Source organism: Homo sapiens, chromosome 5 (genome assembly GCF_000001405.40).
Source record: "Homo sapiens chromosome 5, GRCh38.p14 Primary Assembly".
NCBI lineage: Eukaryota > Metazoa > Chordata > Mammalia > Primates > Hominidae > Homo > Homo sapiens.
In genome coordinates, this window is record NC_000005.10 from 138,807,487 (window position 1) to 138,825,612 (window position 18,126).

General features: G+C 42.3%; 1 protein-coding gene across 9 annotated transcripts in view; it reads left to right on the top strand.

Moving 5' to 3' along the window:
* Positions 1-18,126, top strand: part of CTNNA1 (catenin alpha 1) — a 181,610-nt gene that overhangs the window by 54,062 nt on the left and 109,422 nt on the right. For 8 of the 9 annotated variants that reach the window (NM_001323982.2, NM_001323984.2, NM_001290307.3 and 5 more), the window contains 3 exons: positions 2,552-2,718; positions 4,697-4,816; positions 17,044-17,313. In NM_001323982.2, coding sequence (NP_001310911.1) covers positions 2,552-2,718; positions 4,697-4,816; positions 17,044-17,313 — 557 coding nt within the window. The remainder of the gene's footprint in view (positions 1-2,551; positions 2,719-4,696; positions 4,817-17,043; positions 17,314-18,126) is intronic. The other variant, NM_001290310.3, reaches the window with a different exon arrangement.

The following is an 18,126-nucleotide window of genomic DNA, read 5'->3' on the forward strand; positions in this document are numbered from 1 at the left end:
GAATTCCCATGACACCTTGTGTTTTCTTTCTTACAGCTTGTATGTTAAAATGCCACATAATTTCTTAATGGTCAAATCCATCTTTTCTGGATAAATTATTTGAAGGCAGGGATGTTATGTTCAGCTTTGTGTTTTGGAAGTGGATTTGTTTGTTTTTAGTGTGTAGTAAGTGCTAAATTAGGTGAAGTTCTGCTTATTATATAGGGTCAACATCTCTTGCTTATTCTCTCTTGTTTGGTAGTAATATTGTTTAAGACAGTATTTATATATATATATTTGAGATGGAGTTTCACTCTTGTTGCTCAGGCTGGAGTGCAGTGGCGTGTTCTCGGTTCACTGCAACCTCCGCCTCCCAGGTTCAAGTGATTCTTGTGCCTCAGCCTCCCGAGTAGCTGGGAATACAGGTGCCTGCCACCACACCTGGCTATTTTTTTGTATTTTTTTAGTAGAGACGGAGTTTCACCATGTTGGCCAGGCTGGTCTCAAACTTCTGACCTCAGGTGATCCACCCACCTCAGCCTCCCAAAGTGCTGGGATTACAGGTGTGAACTACCGTGCCCAGCCTAAGACATTATTAATATATTTTTAAGGCAAATATCTCTTTCTGCATGGCTTTTCAGATAAATTCTTCCCTGAGTAAATAGTTTTCTTCAGCGTATTTCCAGAGCACCTTGTTCACAAGGCTATTTAATTTTTGGGTGCATTGTAATACTCTATAATTTGTGAACCCTTTGAGACCAAATGCCGTGTCTTAACCAGTTGTTAATTTTTTGTCTCCCTCCTTCCCTCCATAGAGCTCCAGTAGGGTATGCCCTTGATGTGCGATGGGTGCTCAAACATTTGTTGAACAAATAAAAGAATGAATGATCTCCATCTTTTAAAATACCAGAAGATACTAGCATTAATGTTACGAATCCACATAATGATTGCCATATGTCTGTATCTTCCTGAAGATGTAAGAGAGAAGACTGTGTTAGATCCAGGAAAACCTTTTAACTATATAATTCATTGGAAGTTTTTTTCTGGCCTGACAAATATGTGGAGCGTATCTTTACTCTTAGAATTATACAGTGCTTCTAAGCCTAATTAATATATGCATGTGAGGCAATTTTTCCCCCCTCTTCTGCTTGTGTTGTGCATCCAAAGATGATAGCTAGGAGAAATTTGATAGGTCTGTTGAGAAATAGCTAGTCTTCTTGAAAGTGCCTTAAAAAAAAAAAATTCAGGGAAGACATGAGAGTGTGAATGGGTTTTAGGCTTTAATGTGAACTGAAGTGGGCTTGCTTAGCCAAAGGAGGGAGTAATTGCTTTTCCAGGATTCCAAAGATAGTCTCCATAGAGGCCCTATTTGTATAACCAGTGGACAAGACACAACACTGGCCCTTTAGTTGCTTCTAGCTGTAAGAAAAGAGTGGCAATGGGCACTGTAAATAATTTTAAGACACAAATGACAGAAAGTATAAGTTTCACAAGTTTCTAGGAAATGTTATAAATTATTTTTAAAAATTTTTTTAAAGAGACAGGGTCTTGTTCTATCACCCACGCTAGAGTGCAGTGGTGCAATCATGGCTCACTGCAACCTCAAACACATGGGCTCAAGAGATTCTCCTGCCTTGGCCTCACAAAGCGCCGAGATTGCTGGTGTAAGCCACCATGCCCAGCCTATAAATAAATTCTTGAGCTCAGGATTGTATAAGTTGGATATTCCTATAAGCTATAGTAAAATCTATTTTATATGTTTTTAGCTAGTTTTTAAAAAATTATAGATACAATACCTCTTCATTATAGAAACTTTTTATAAGTACGAAATGTAAAGAGGCCGTGTGTAACCCAATGATAACTATTATTTGCCTTTTGACTCCAGTCTTTCCTCTGTATTTAAAAAGAAGCATACATTTATGATTTCATTTGTTTCTGCTTAACATTTTTCATATATATAAATATTTTCATAATAGTCAATTGTAGGCCATACCATAATTTACTTAACTAGATGCTTATTGAGCATGTGAGCTTTTGGTAGTGTTCTGTGAAGGAAATGAATGAATCAATGGCTGAGCTCTGTATTTTCACATACCAGTGAGTCTCTGTTATGGCTGTACACATCATGTAGTTGGGATGATTAATGAAGTGTGGTGGTTCTGCATAATTGTGGCCCTGTTTCTGTATTCTATGGATGTGAGAGTAGATTTTATTAGATATGTTTTTTCTCCTGTTCAAATCTTGAATTTTTCTTTTTTTTGGATACATATAATGCCCTTTTTTTTTTAAAGGAACATTATTAGATCAAAGGGAAATATTTTTAAGCCTCTTGATATATAGTGCCAAGTCACTTTCCAGATATTTTGCTTTCACCAGCAATATATGAAGGTGCTTTTTTTAGTGATAGCTATAAAACAAACAAAGGAACAGCAAACAACAACAAAAATGAAAACTCTTAAACTAAATTTGTGCATGAAATATACAAAGTTTGGATTATTTTTATATTTTTAAAAATGTAGATCAGTTATTTGAGTTCATTCTTGCTGAGTTTGTTTTTCATTCTGTAAAACAGGTGATTTGATGAAGGCTGCTGCAGGAGAGTTCGCAGATGATCCCTGCTCTTCTGTGAAGCGAGGCAACATGGTTCGGGCAGCTCGAGCTTTGCTCTCTGCTGTTACCCGGTTGCTGATTTTGGCTGACATGGCAGATGTCTACAAATTACTTGTTCAGCTGAAAGTTGTAAGTATACAGGCCTATGTCTGTAATTTGTTCTATCACAGGAAGATTGCTACTGGCCTTCCTTAGTTCAGTATTCCTTAGGATTTAGTTTGGTTTTGAATTTGGTTTATCTCAATGGACCAGAGATGTTTTTGTTTAATTTCCACTTACTCCTCTATTCCAAGTATATATCATCCTGGCTCTGTTCTGAGCCAGTGTTGTCTTGGCTGTAATGAAGAACTTGTAGCAAAGATACTGTTTTGACTCCTTCCCTTTTTCCAGTAATGATTAAATATTTTCCTTGTAGAGTTCTGGAGTTGAGAAACCAAGATACATTAAATTTTGTACTTTTATTTATTTATTTATTTTTTCCATTTAACCCTGAGTGGACACAGCACATGTTTCAGAGAGCACAGGGTTGGGGGTAAGGTCACAGATCAACAGGATCCCAAGGCCGAAGAATTTTTCTTAGTACAGAACAAAATGAAGTTTCCCATGTCTACTTCTTTCTACACAGACACGGCAACCATCCGATTTCTCAATCTTTTCCCCACCTTTCCCCCCTTTCTATTCCACAAAACCGCCATTGTCATCATGGCCCGTTCTCAATGAGCTGTTGGGTACACCTCCCAGACGGGGTTTCGGCCGGGCAGAGGGGCTCCTCACTTCCCCAGTAGGGGCGGCCGGGCAGAGGCGCCCCTCACCTCCCGCACGGGGCGGCTGGCCGGGCAGGGGGCTGACCCCCCCACCTCCCTCCCGGACGGGGCAGCTGGCCGGGCAGGGGGCTGACCCCCCCACCTCCCTCCCGGACGGGGCGGCTGGCCTGGCGGGGGCTGACCCCCACCTCCCTCCCGGACGGGGTGGCTGCCGGGCGGAGACGCTCCTCACTTCCCAGACGGTGTGGTTGCCGGGCGGAGGGGCTCCTCATTTCTCAGATGGGGCGGCTGCCGGGCGGAGGGGCTCCTCACTTCTCAGATGGGGCGGTTGCCAGGCGGAGGGTCTCCTCACTTCTCAGACGGGGCGGCCGGGCAGAGACGCTCCTCACCTCCCAGATGGGGTCGCGGCCGGGCAGAGGCGCTCCTCACATCCCAGACGGGGCGGCGGGGCAGAGGCGCTCCCCACATCTCAGACGATGGGCGGCCGGGCAGAGACGCTCCTCACTTCCTAGGTGGGATGGCGGCCGGGAAGAGGCGCTCCTCACTTCCCAGATGGGATGGCGGCCGGGCAGAGACGCTCCTCACTTTCCAGACTGGGCAGCCAGGCAGAGGGGCTCCTCACGTCCCAGACGATGGGTGGCCAGGGCAGAGACGCTCCTCACTTCCCAGACAGGGTGGCGGCCGGGCAGAGGCTGCACTCTCGGCGCTTTGGGAGGCCAAGGCAGGTGGCTGGGAGGTGGAGGTTGTAGCAAGCCGAGATCACGCCACTGCACTCCAGCCTGGGCACTGTTGAGCACCGAGTGAACCAGACTCCGTCTGCAATCCCGGCACCTCTGGAGGCCGAGGCTGGCGGATCACTCGCGGTTAGGAGCTGGAGACCAGCCCGGCCAACACAGCGAAACCCCGTCTCCACCAAAAAAATACGAAAACCAGTCAGGCGTGGCAGCGCACGCCTGCAAATCGCAGGCACTCGGCAGGCTGAGGCAGGAAAATCAGGCAGGGAGGTTGCAGTGAGCCGAGATGGCAGCAGTACAGTCCAGCTTCAGCTCGGCATCAGAGGGAGACCGTGGAAAGAGAGGGAGAGGGAGACCGTGGGGAGAGGGAGAGGGAGGGGAAGGGGGAGGGAATTTTGTACTTTTAGAGGCCAATATTAGTGTTTTTCCCACTATGAAGCTCCTGTGTAATTGCTGTTTAAATGTTAGAAGACCATGCGCAAACTCGAGAGCTAAGTTTGGGTTGCTTTTTGAGTAGTTGTTAACAGGAATGAAAATTCCTAGGATGCCATCTTCTTTACAGACCTACATTCAGAATTTTTGGGTTTTGGGGTCTTTCTTATTTTATAGGTGGAAGATGGTATCTTGAAGTTGAGGAATGCTGGCAATGAACAAGACTTAGGAATCCAGTATAAAGCCCTAAAACCTGAAGTGGATAAGCTGAACATTATGGCAGCCAAAAGACAACAGGTACAGTCATGATTTGGGGATATATTAAAGTTGTTCATTTTACTATCTAGAGGGAAAAACTCATTCTGTGTGTTTTCTGAAAGTACCATTACTTACCTTCGCCAATATAGTTCCATTAAAACATTTAAACTAAGGTGTCTTTTCAGTATTGTGCTGTTAATAAAGTTGTAATTACATTGCATTCATGTTATGCTCCTATTTTAATTCTTGTGAACATTTTATCTTAAGTAGCTTGACAACTTGTGATGAAGGTAGTGTCTGGAGAGGTAATAGGTCTTTGTGTATTTAAGGATTAACCTGAATTAGTGGTGCAGTTTTGTTCAGATTTTTAATAAAATCTTAATCCATTTAAATATACTGGAATTATCTCTGTATCAGAAAGTATCTCCATACCTTGCCCCACCAGCCCCGTGTCTTGTTACTTTTTAACTGTTTCTTATTGTTATTAGTATTTTCCATTGTGTGGCATGAGGATCAGTGTTAACTTTTCCAAGCTCCAGTAGCCCTTTGACCCTTCGGCATTTTCACTGTTGGTGTGCTTTGAAACCCTTCCTGTGCCCTTGCTGTTGGACGCTGTGTATTTCAGGTGTATATTCTTCAAGGAAGATCCATATATTGCTATCCATCTTCTTATATCTTTCATAGTCCTGATCAAGCTTACGCTTTACATTCTTACTTTAAAACAAGCCCCAAGAAGAATAGTTGTTGTTAGCTAGTACCTTTATCAGTTAGGATACTTTGCACTGGAGTTTGCAGAAAACCCAGCTCCCAAACTGCTTGAAAAATGGGGGATTTATTTTCTCATTAAGTATAAGTCCTGAGTTAGGCTAAGTGACTTCAGGGTTGTTAAATATAAGGGCTTTGCAGTATCATCAAGGATCCAGGTTCTTGATATTTTTCATCACTATCGTCTTCAGTGTGCCTGGCACTGGGTGGCTGCAGAGGCTCTTTGCATGACATCTGCACATAATATGTCCAGTGAGAACAAAAAGGACTGTTCCTTCCATATGTCTCTCTTTATAAGCAAACAATCTAGAAGCTCCTAGTAGACTTGTCCTAAATCTGAATTGTGCAACATGCCTATTCCTCAGTTATCCCTGGCAAGAGGAAAGGAGTCTGCCTGACTCAGAATAATCCAGATCCACCTTCTGCTCTGGGTTAAGGGGTAGCTTTCCTGAGGACAGAAACACCCGACAAAAGGTCTGACAGGTAGTAGAAAGTTGGGTTGGGAGTAGTGGGAGTAGGGAATGGATTTGGGTAGGCAACGTGCTATGACTGCTATAGACTTTTTTCATTACAGCAAGATGGTTGTCAGTAAACACATAAAAAAATTTTTTTTGAGGCAGGAGATCTCACTCTGTTGCCCAGGTTGGAGTACAGTGGTGGCATCATGTAACCTCGATTTCCCCAGGCTCAGGTGATCCTCCCACCTCAGCCTCCTGAATAGCTGAGACTATAGGCACAGGACACCACACCCGGCTAATTTTTGTACTTTTTGTAGATACAGGATTTTGTCATGTTGCCAGGCTGGTCTTGAACTCCTGGGCTCAAGAGATCCTCCTACCTCTGCCTCCCAAGGTACTGGGATTACAGGCATGAGCCACTGTGGCTAGCTAAATGCTATTAAAGTCTAATATATGACAGCTTCTTTTCTGGGGGCTTCTTAGTCATTTGGTTATATTTACATTAGTATTAAAAATCTATGCCATAGGGTTGAGAGGATTCAAATAAATAATATATGTACAGTGTTTAATATAGTGCCAGGCACTAAGAAGGCCCTTCTCAGTAGGCAGTTGGTGAATAATAGTTTATTGCTTATATTTCAAGTCATAAGATGTGATCAGACTAACTTATATATGAGATCCTGGTTTTGCATTTCTAGTACTTAAGATTATACATGGTAATATAGCTAGGTTGGTATACCCAAGTTAGTGTAGGCTCAGTGTGCTTTTTTTTTTTTTTTGAGATGGAGTTTCGCTCTTGTTGCCCAGGCTGGAGCGCAATGGTGCAATCTCGGCTCACCACAACCTCCGCCTCCCGGGTTCAAGTGATTATCCTGCCTCAGCCTCCCGTCAGTGTGCTTTTATAATTTATTTTTGTATTGGCTTAGTCTCCATCATATAAATTATAAGTATCTTTTCTTTTTGCTGGAGCTAATTGATCCTGAGAAGAACTTGTTTAATAGAATGGTAATCCTATAAATGTGGCAAGCCGGCCAAATTACATTCACAATTTATTTTAATTAATGGGTTTGATACAAATTCTCTTTTGAATATGTGAAGTAAATATTAAGTTATATTTAAAAGATACAATTTGGCAAATAGTCCTACTGGTTTAAAACGTAGTCTGAGCTTGGTTTATGAAGACTGACTGTTATTTAGACAAAATAAACATTAAGATTGCCACTATTGTGCATCATTGCAAAATGGCGGAATAAGTAAATAGATGGGTTTTTTTTTGTTTTTTTTTGTGGTGGACTCACATTCTGTCGCCCACGCTGGAGTGCAGTGGTGCGATCTCGGCTCACTGCAACCTCCACCTCCTGGGTTCAAGCTATTCTCTTGCCTCAGGCTCCCGAGTAGCTGGGACTATAAGCGCCTGTCACCACACCCAGCCAATTTTTGTATTTTTAGTAGAGACGGGGTTTCACCATCTTGGCCAGGCTACTCTTGAACTCCTGACCTTGTGATCCACCTGCCTCGGTCTCCCAAAGTGCTGGGATTACAGGCATGAGCCACCACACTCTGTCTGGAATTTTGTATGCTATTCAAGAAACTTACTAGAAAGTAATGCTACCTGAGTTGTTTTTTTTCTTTTTTCCAAAGCCAAATACTTCTCAATGCCTAAGTTTTAATACCATGTTCCATGGATCTGTGAAGAGTTCCTTGAACATAATCCCTTATGTATTTTTTTCATGTGTTTTTTTTTGAAAGTAGTAGCAAATGCCAAAGTTTTCTGAAATAAGATGTCACAGAAATATTGGAATTATTATATACATGCTGGATAATCTTCTGTTTGCCCTTCCATATTGTTTCCCACCCTTGTTTACCCTATTCTCTGCCCCAGGAACCTAACCTGCCTGGATTTCATTTGTGGGCTCCTGCTTGGGCTTGGTGAGTGGGAGCACCAGCAGGAGGTCAAAGGAGATAGAGTGATGCTAGGGTGTTACTCTTAGGCCTCTTTCCTGCTGGGTGCCCTGGGTTGCTAAAAGTGATGGCATTCTCTACACATCTTGCTCCCTGGTTTTGGTAACTGCTGCCTCCTCTTGTCCCTTCATTCCTAAGTGTCCTACCAGCTTTGTAGTTTTTCTGTATTTTGTCCATACCTATGTATGATAGTATAGTCTCTAAACTGCCTTTGAGTCACCCGATTTGATTTTATTCTATTTTTTTCTGCCAGAATTTTGAATGATACGTATTCGCATTTTCTTGGGTTTATAGTAAGTCATGAGTCATTTGTAGTTTTCCTTGGGCCTAAGTTTTTAGCCTTAGCCTCCTGAAAGAGAATTCACTGAGTAGACTGGTTGTGGGCTCCTGTGTACCCCCGTTCACAAAATGGTCTTTTATAGGCTTGGGCCTTGGTGTATATTCCAGTAGACGAATGCTTTTCTTGGAAATTAAACAAATACTAATTTTGTCCTAAGGGCCCAGCCTGATGGAAACTTCATTATTTCTTTTGGGCACTGTCCATTGGCCTCCTTCAGTAGAATTTATTCCTCCTATTTAACTGTATATTTGTATCTGATAACTAACCTTTGGCTACCCACCTCTCCGCACTACCCTTCCTCACTTCTATGAGTCAACTTCTTAAGCTTCCATGTAAGTGAGAACATGTGGTATTTATCTTCCTGTGCCTGGCTTATTTGACTTACCATAGTGTTTTCTGAGGTCATCCATGTTTCCATGAATGACAGAATTTTGTCTTTTTTAAATGGCTAAATAGTATTCCATTGTGAATATATGCCACATTTTGTCTGTTGATGGACACTTAGGTTGATTCCATATCTTGGCTATTGTGAATAGAGCTGCAGTAAACACAGGAATGCATGTCTCTCTTTGACTTACTGATTTCCTTTCCTTTGGATACCCAGTAGTGGGATTGCTGGATCATATGATTGGTCTATTTTTAGTTTTTTGAGGAAATTCCATACAATTTTCCATAATGGCTGTACTGATTTACATTCCCACCATCAGTGTATAAGAGTGTTCCCCTTTCCCTGCATTCCCACCAGCATTTTTTTTCCTTTCGTTTTGCTAATAGCCATTCTAATTAGAATGAGATGATAACCTCTTGGAGGTTTTGATTTGCTTTTCTCTGATGATTAGTGATGTTGAGGATCTTTCCATATACCTGTTGGTCATTTGTATGTCTTCTTTTGAGAAATGTATGTTTAGCTCATTTGTCTTTTTTTTTTTTAAGACAGAGTTTTAGTGTGTCACTCAGGCTGGAGTGCAGTGGTGCAATCTCGACTCACTGCAACCTCCACTTCCCAAGTTCAAGCAATTCCTGTCTCAGCTTCCTGAGTAGCTGAGACTACAGGCATGCGCCACCATGCCCAGCTGATTTTTGTATTTTTAGTAGAGTCAGGTTTTCACCATGTTGGCCAGGCTGGTCTCGAACTCCTGGCCTCAAAAGTGATCCACCTGCCTTGGCCTCCCAGAGTGCCTGGATTACAGGTGTGACCCACCGTGCCCGGCTACATTTGCCCATTTTAAAATCAGATTATTTGAGTTTTTGCTGTTGAGTTGTTTGAGTTGTTTGTATATTCTAGATATTAATCCCTTATCAGATGAATAGTTTGCACATATTTTCTCCTGTTCTTCAGGTTGGCTCTTCACTCTGTTGATTATTTCCTTTGTTGTGCAGAAGATTTTTAGTTTATATAATTCCGTTTGTCTGTTTGAATATAACATTCCATTTTTTCCTGGCCTGTAGCGTTTCTGCATAGAAATCTGCGTTATTCTAATGGGAATTCCCTTTTATGTGACTTGATGCTTTTCACTTGCTGTCTTTAGAATTTTATCTTTGTCTTTTGACTTTTGACAATTTGACTATAATGTGCCTTGGGTGTATAACTACCCACTAATTATAACTACTTTTTTGATTCAATCTCTTTGGGGACTTTTTGGGCTTTTTGGATCTGTATGTCCATATCTCTCCCCAGACTTGGGAAGTTTCCAGCTATTATTTAATTAAATAGGTTTTCTATGCCTTTTCTTTTCTCCTTCTGGAATTCCCATGATGGGAATATTGGTTGATTTAATGCTATCCTATAAGTTTTGCAGGCTTTCTTCACTCTTTTTCATTGTTTTTTGTTTGTTTGTTTTTCCTCTGGGTAATTTCAAGCTACCTATCTTCAAGTTCTGAGATTTTCTTTTTCTTGGTGAAATCTTTTGAAACTTTCTATTGTATTTTTTATTGAATTCTTCGTTGTTTTCACCATTAAATTCTTTAGCTGCATGATTTCTGTTGGTTCTTCTTCATGCATTCTTTTTGTTGAATTTCTCATTTACATCCTGATTTTGGTGAATTTTCTATTTGTATTTTATTGTATCTCTTTGAGGTTCCTTAAGATAATTATTTTATTTTATCTTTTTGAGACAGACTTTCGCTGTCATCTGTTGCCCAGGCTGGAGTGCAGTGGCATGATCTTGGCTCATTGCAACCTCCACCTCCCAGGTTCAAATGATTCTTGAGCCTTAGCCCCGTCCCTGCGCCCCCGCCCCCACAACCAAGTAGCTGGGATTACTGGTGTGAGCCACTGCATCTGGGCCTAGATTTTAAATTCTTTTTCTGGCAGTTTGTTGATTTCCCCCTTTTTTTTCCTTTTTCTTTTTTTTTTTTTCAGACAGGGTCTTGCTCTGTCGCCCAGGCCAGAGTGCAGTGGCATTTTCTCGGCAGTCTCAAGTGATCCTCCCATCTCAGCCTCCCAAATTGCTGGGGCTACAGGCATGCCATATCCAGCTTTTTTTTTTTTTTGGGAGCGGGGGTGGGTAGAGATAGGGTCTTGTTACGTTGTCCAGGCTGGTCCCGAACTCCTGGGCTCACACTGACTTCCTTTTTATTGGGTTCTAGTGTTAAAGAGTTATATTCCTTTCTTGGTGTCATATTTACTTGCTTTCTCATGTTTCTTATGTCCCTGTTTTGATGTCTGTGCATGTGGTGGGACAATCACCTCTTCTACAGTCTTTTGAATGGCTTTTATAGAGACTTTCCCTTGCAGTTGGATTTTAGTGTGCTGGTTAGGGAGTGTGTGTTGGCTCTGTGTCCAGTAGGAGCAATAGTACAGTCTTCGTGCAGCTTCTTCACCTGTGTTCAACATCAGCAGTAACTTTGGGTGCCTCAGTTGCCTAGGCTGTAGAAGTTTGTGGTAGTTGTGGCAGTCATGTAGGTCCTTGGTGTCAAGGGTTTTTGGGGTCCTCCTCTTCTTGTTTTTCTCACAGTAGGGAGACTTAGCTGACTGGGTCCCTGGTTGTGTCAGGTATGACACAGTGTACGAGCAGCTACTGTGGCACTGGGTTCCAGGTACAGGTGCTCGCGGTGGCTGTGGGGCTGGGGTCCCAGGCTCAGGGTTTTGTGAACTTACTGTGGCACCTGGATCTTGGGATGTATTGAGTGCCTGGCTTTGTTCTCTATGGCAGAGTTGGATGTCAGTTGCCCATAAAGCCAGGATCTGTGACTCTGAGGCACCCCAGTAGCTTTGGCCCAGGGGCCTAGGTTGAGGTTATGATTCTTTCCTTAGGGGGCAGGGCACAGCATTGGCGTGATTGGGAAGAAGGGGTGCTCTGGAGGTTTGGGCCCAGGGAGCAGGGTGTATGTAGCTACAATTTGGGAACCTGAGCCAATAGGGCTCAGTGGCAAGTTGGAGCCTAGAGGATGAGGCACCATGCAGTAATGACTCTAGGCCCCCGGATGGTGGAGCTTGGCAGTATCCTAGGCTCTGTGAAGCCAGGTGCAACAGCAGCACATATCCCAGAATGGCAGAGCACAGCTGTTGTGTGGGCCCTGGGGAGGGGAGGGAACAGCACAGCGATTACTCTACTCTGCAAGGAGAGGAGTGTCTCAGCAGTTCAGACTCTAGAGAATCCAGCTTTAGGGAAACAGAATACTAGAGTTGTTTGGCCTGTACGGCGAATGTCTCTGCTCAGCCACTGTTCTGTTTCCCTTGGATGCAGGGTACTATGTCGGCTCAGCCCTGGGATGCTCAGCTGGTTTAGGGCACCAGTTCCCCAGGGGCAATGTGCTGCTTCAGCGCAGGCCTGAGGGGCATGACTTTTCTGGACAGTCCAGGCACTGATTCCTTGGGATGCAGGGCACCACTTCTGCTAAAGCACTTGGATGCGTGACTGCTCTGGGTGCCATTTCCTTGGATTCAGGGCACCGCTTCAAGTTGGGCACTAGTGTGGGGTGACTCCTCTAAGCAGCGAAGGTACTGTTTTCCCTGGAAGGGGAGTGATATTGTTTGGATTTGTGTCCCCCCCCAAATCTCGTGTCTAATTGTAGTCCCCAGTGTTGGAGGAGGGGCATGGTAGGAGGTGATTGGATTGGCGGGGGGCGGGGGGGTGAGTGGGGGGATTTCCCCCTTGCTGTTCTTGGGAGTGAGTTCTCACAGATCTGGTTGTTTAAAATCTCCCCCTTTGCTCTCTTCCTCCTGCTCTCGCCATGTAAGATATGATTCCTTTCTCTTTGCTCTGTGCCATGATTGTAAGATTCCTGAACCACCCACCCCCCGCCCTGCCCCCCACCGCCAGCCATGCTTCCTGTACAGCCTGCAGAACCATGAGCCAATTAAACCTGTAAAGGTAGTCCTTTATAGCAGTGCAAGTATGGGCTAATACAGGGAGAGAAGAGGGGTAGATGGAGTGGCTTCCTCTCTCCTTGGCCCCATGAGTAAGGGTATAACAGTTGCTTGCAGCTTGGGGATGTCTGGCCAATTGGTTGTGATAGTTTGGTGGTGACTTAGCCTTGGGGATGAAGGGAAGCTGTGGCCGCTCACACTAGGAGCAAGACACACTCCAGCCATGGTTCCATTTCCAAGATGGTATAGCACAGTAGTTGCATGGGCTGTAGAGGGCAGGTCACAGTCTCGTCCCCTTCTTGGAGGGAGCACAGCAATGTGGATTCTAGGCAGGTCCCTCAGCTGGGCCTAGTGCCTATGAGAACTGCAGGGACAGTGGTGAGGTCTGTATGTGTCCAAGGTGTTGATGGGGGTTGCTGAAATCCTCTTGCTTACCTCCTCGAAGTAGGGAGGTTTGTCCTGGTTCCCGGGTGATCCTGGTTGGGGTATAGGGTGGTGGAGGCCTGGTGTTTCCTTCTGTTTTCCATGTGGCCAGCCTGAGATTTGTCACCAGGGTTTCTGTAACTCCTCTGATGCGCTTTGGCACTCTATCTCAATTATTTTTATTAAAATGTAGTTGTTTAGTCGTTGTTTTGGGTGTTGTTTTGAGGGGGGTGAATGCTAGGAGCTGCTAGTTGGCCATCTGATGTCACTGTTTTAAACCCTTTGTAAACATAAACTCATTTAATCTTCACAAAATAATGTGAGGTAGATACTATAACTGGTCGCATATTAATTGTAATAGAGGTTACGTAATCTTGCAAGGTCACTCATCTAACAAATGGTGGAGCCAGGATTTGAACCTAGGTTGTTTGGCACCAGAGGACAGAGATACTGTGTTTTAATTGTTCCTATAATCACTGCTGTCTAGAATATTGCCTGGACATAGTGGTGTTCAATAAATATTTGTTTAACAACTGAGTGACTGAACCACTTTGCTGTACTGGAATTGGATTCTAAGTGTGACGCCAATCAGTTACTTTCTAATTAAGTGTGGCTGGAATATTATTTGCTGACTAGAAGTGTTGAATCTCCATTAGCTGCATGTTGTTCTTTGACTGTAAGTGTAAAATTGATGGCAGAAGTAAGGATGGGTTGGCATCAACCTTAGATCCTGTGAGAAGGACCACTTCTGCCTCATATTGTCGACTCTGGCTTCCCAACATGCTAGTGATGTAATAATGCTTTGATGCTTACATTCCCTCCATCTGTGTGCAGAGAGCTTATTGAGGTATTTGATGATAATGTAATGCTTCTTATTTATTACCTAGTCTATGAATTCTTGCCTTTTGTGATTATTTTTTTCTGAAAACTTGGACACTGAATAGTAATGTTACTGTCGGTGTTTTATTTGTAAATACTTTGGACTGGTTGGATTGTTTGACCATGGACCCTTTTTTTAAGTGTAGCCATTTGTATCCAAGAGAAATCTATGGCTATAATTTTATATTGTTAAGAGAGAAATGAGAGGAAACTTCCACTTGAATTTTCAGCTCTTGGTTAGAGGCAGTGTTATAGATTGCTTAGAAGTTAGTTTCTATTTTTTGGTCAGTCCATGGGATATCATTCAGATTACATTGAAAGCAGTTCTTTGTTCCTGAGTCTGCTTGAACCATCACTGGGTTGGTGAAGTTGGGGATTATGAAAGCTAAAGTAGACCAAGAGACTCTAGTTTTGTAAATAATCTATTATGTTGCTTAATAGGTCACTTTCCTCAGTAATCTGGATTACTTATTGGCATTATATATCTTGAAAAGAGTACTTTTAATCATTATTCTTATTACAGTAAATAGTGCTGTACTGTGATAGTGTCCGTTTTCTTTATGTAACAAAATCTAATTTCTTTGTGCTAAGGCAAGAGCAGTTCTAAAGAGAGAAAAAAGAACACTTTAGCAGTCAGGACAAATGATGGTATTTCGTTATTATTTTCATCATAGATTAAAATATATCCCTCATACTTTGTAAATAGGAGTCTATCAGAGATACACTGTGATAAGGGCAAGACAATTAGAAAATGGCACACAGAACATATGCACCAGCTGTTTAAGCATAATGGTTAACCCTAGCTCCTTGTCATAACTCGAGTCTTGAAATGATCACCAATTCTCTAAATCCACAGGATCTTGTTTCTGAATATTTAGCCTAATGTAGTCTTTGGAAAAGTAGAAGTTGGTAATACCATACCAGGCAGTGGCTTAGGAAAGTCATGTGTTGAATAGTAATTATGGCACCTGCTAACTTGAGATGACCGTAAGTGTCTTTGGTAACTAACCTTTATAAGAAGCTATGCTGATCTAGGTCATAGATACTTAGGAGGAATGCCAAAGCTGATTGCAAAGCATTTTTATAAAACGGTAGACAATTTAAGTACTTAAAGGCAAATGCCTTCCCGGAAAACTTTTAGAGCCCCTCAGATTGTGGTGAAGGCAAGACATTTAGAAAATGCCACACAAAACATGTGCACCAGCTGTTTAAGTGTAATGTTTAGTCATAGCCCCTTGTTGCTTGAGTCTTTAAATGATAACTGATTCTTTAAATCTACAGGGTCCTGTTTTTGAATATTTAGCCTAATGTACTGTGTTACAGGGCATTTGGAGTGCTGTGAGCTATTACTTGCAAATTTAGATTCCAAATGAGAAAAGAATTCTAGGAGGAAAAGTAAGCTGTCATGTTATACAAGGTTTGAATAAAGATGCAAACCTAAATATATACTGAGATGAAGTTTCAGAAAAAGGAAGCCAGTTTGGTGTCTCTAATGCCTAATTAGGAACTCATCTAGAAAGATGAACCACTAAATAGCTAAGTCAGATGGCTAATTGAGTAATTGACTTTGTCCTTTCTAACTTGGTCAATTTTCTGTTACTGTTTACACATGTAATACTCAAAATGTTTAAATTTATACTCTAGGATTTAGTTAATGACATTAACATTGACATTTTAACATGTAAAATAAGAGTTGGGCTACCATTTGGTGATTATTTAGAGTTATCACCTGTATTCTTCTTCTGTGGTGGTGATCCATTTTTACTAAAGCCTTTTTTTCCCTTCTGAGTATTGTGAGTGAAAGAGGGATACCAGAAATACCCGCTTCCCATTCCCATCTTGTGTATTTTTGGCATCACTTATTTGTCGCTTAGCATATCTACTCAGCCTACCAAGTAGATGCCATCATTAGTGGAAATGATGCCAAGGACCTCAAATCCTTCTTACTGTGGATTATAATTATGGGGTAGAAGAAATGAAAAAAAGTAGTTTAAGACCGTATCTATACAGAGTCTTATAATCATAGATTGGGGCTATGAAGCACATACGCCTCAACTTTATGGCTTACTGACCTGCGAACTGTTTAATGTACTGTGTAAGAAAAGTGTGGTTCTGTGTCCTAAAGTGGTTTTTGGGGTGGGGAGCGGGAGAGGAGGAGATACGTGCTTGTCAGAACAGCCTTGTGATATCCTCACCTATTTATGTAGTTCATACATACCTGTGGCATCCTGTCCCAAATTTCACAAAACTCTTACAATAAAATTATGTAACTTGGCTGGGCGCGGTGGCTCACGCCTGTAATCCCAGCACTTTGGGAGGCCGAGGCGGGCGGATCACGAGGTCAGGAGATCGAGGCCATCCCGGCTAAAACGGTGAAACCCCGTCTCTACTAAAAATACAAAAAATTAGCCGGGCGTAGTGGCGGGCGCCTGTAGTCCCAGCTACTTGGGAGGCTGAGGCAGGAGAATGGCGTGAACCCGGGAGGCGGAGCTTGCAGTGAGCCGAGATCCCGCCACTGCACTCCAGCCTGGGCGACAGAGCGAGACTCCGTCTCAAAAAAAAAAAAAAAAAAAAAAAAAAAAAATTATGTAACTTGATAAAAAATAATACTCATAATAAGTCTTACTCTGTTTGACTGTATCTCTTCATGATCTTTCTATCGTTGGTTGGTATAGGTACATATATCTATATAGAGTTGTAATCAAGATGCTAGGCAGTTTGTTTTGTCTTTTATTTAATGCCTTATTTAGTGCTGTGCTAAGTACTTTACATACATTATCCGATTTAATCCTCAAAACAATGATAAGAAAGGTACTGTTACTGCTCTTCTTTGACAGAAGGGGAACCTTAGCCCTGAGGGTTTAAAATAAGGTCATAAAATAGCCAGGAGAAAGTAGAAGTGGGTGTGGGGTGGATTCAGATCTAGGTCTGTGTGATTCCAAAGCTCAGAATCTTACCTACCAAACCATACTGCCTTCTTTGTGATTGACTCTCAACTAGATTGTTAATGAAAATAATGTGTCTAATTAATAGAAATTCTAACTTTTCAGCATTTACCAGCAAATTTTTATATGAGTAAAGCCCATATAAAGAGTGCTCCAATTTCTTGTTTTATTTACTCTTGTAGGAATTGAAAGATGTTGGCCATCGTGATCAGATGGCTGCAGCTAGAGGAATCCTGCAGAAGAACGTTCCGATCCTCTATACTGCATCCCAGGCATGCCTACAGCACCCTGATGTCGCAGCCTATAAGGCCAACAGGGACCTGATATACAAGCAGCTGCAGCAGGCGGTCACAGGCATTTCCAATGCAGCCCAGGCCACTGCCTCAGACGATGCCTCACAGCACCAGGGTGGAGGAGGAGGAGAACTGGCATATGCACTCAATAACTTTGACGTAAGTTATGCTTGGGTGGAAATTTCCAGCTCTTGACCATCCCCCAAAAGATAACAGATTTCTGGGGAAAAGTGATCAAGGCTTCTGATGATAGCTCAATTTCCACTTAGATCTTTAATCTAAGTCAAAAGAAATTATGAATCATCAGTCTACTTGATTTTAACTTGGCCTAAAACATTTATTTTTATTTTTGTTTTTAGTTTGAATTAAACTTCTGGATTCTTTTATGTAGCTTGTGTTTCCTATGAGGTCATTCTTTACTGAGGATATGGGTTTGGTTCATTTCAACCAAGATTTTGACCTTCTGGCAGATGTGAAGCTATGGTAGATACAGAAACTAAGTACACGTAGGGTCAGCCCCCTAGAGGCTCGTGGTCTATTGGGAGATAGAGAAACATCATAAGTGACTGCAGCAAAAGTACCATCATTCTAATCTTTCTTGTCTGCCTAGATATACTTCTTTTCAGTGACTAAATTGGAATAATGAACAGAAATTTAATCAAGTGGAAGCAAATTTGGGATTAAAATACTTTCTTAGCATAATGCCATAATTACTTTTCATAAATGATGCGCTAGGTCTGTCCTGTGTACACAACTCTTAAGGTTAACTTTTTGGTGGGTTATGTGTTCTTAATTCCTACCCACAGTGCCTCTTGGCTTCCAGTAGATGGCAGCAGTATAAGTTTTTTTTTTTTTTTTAGGGCTTTAAAAGTAACTGTTGGGGCTAATTAAAAAAAAAAAAAACAAACCAAAAAACAGAAATTGTGTTCCAGGTGACCAGCATCCTTTCATAAAGTAGGGATGCTATGAAAT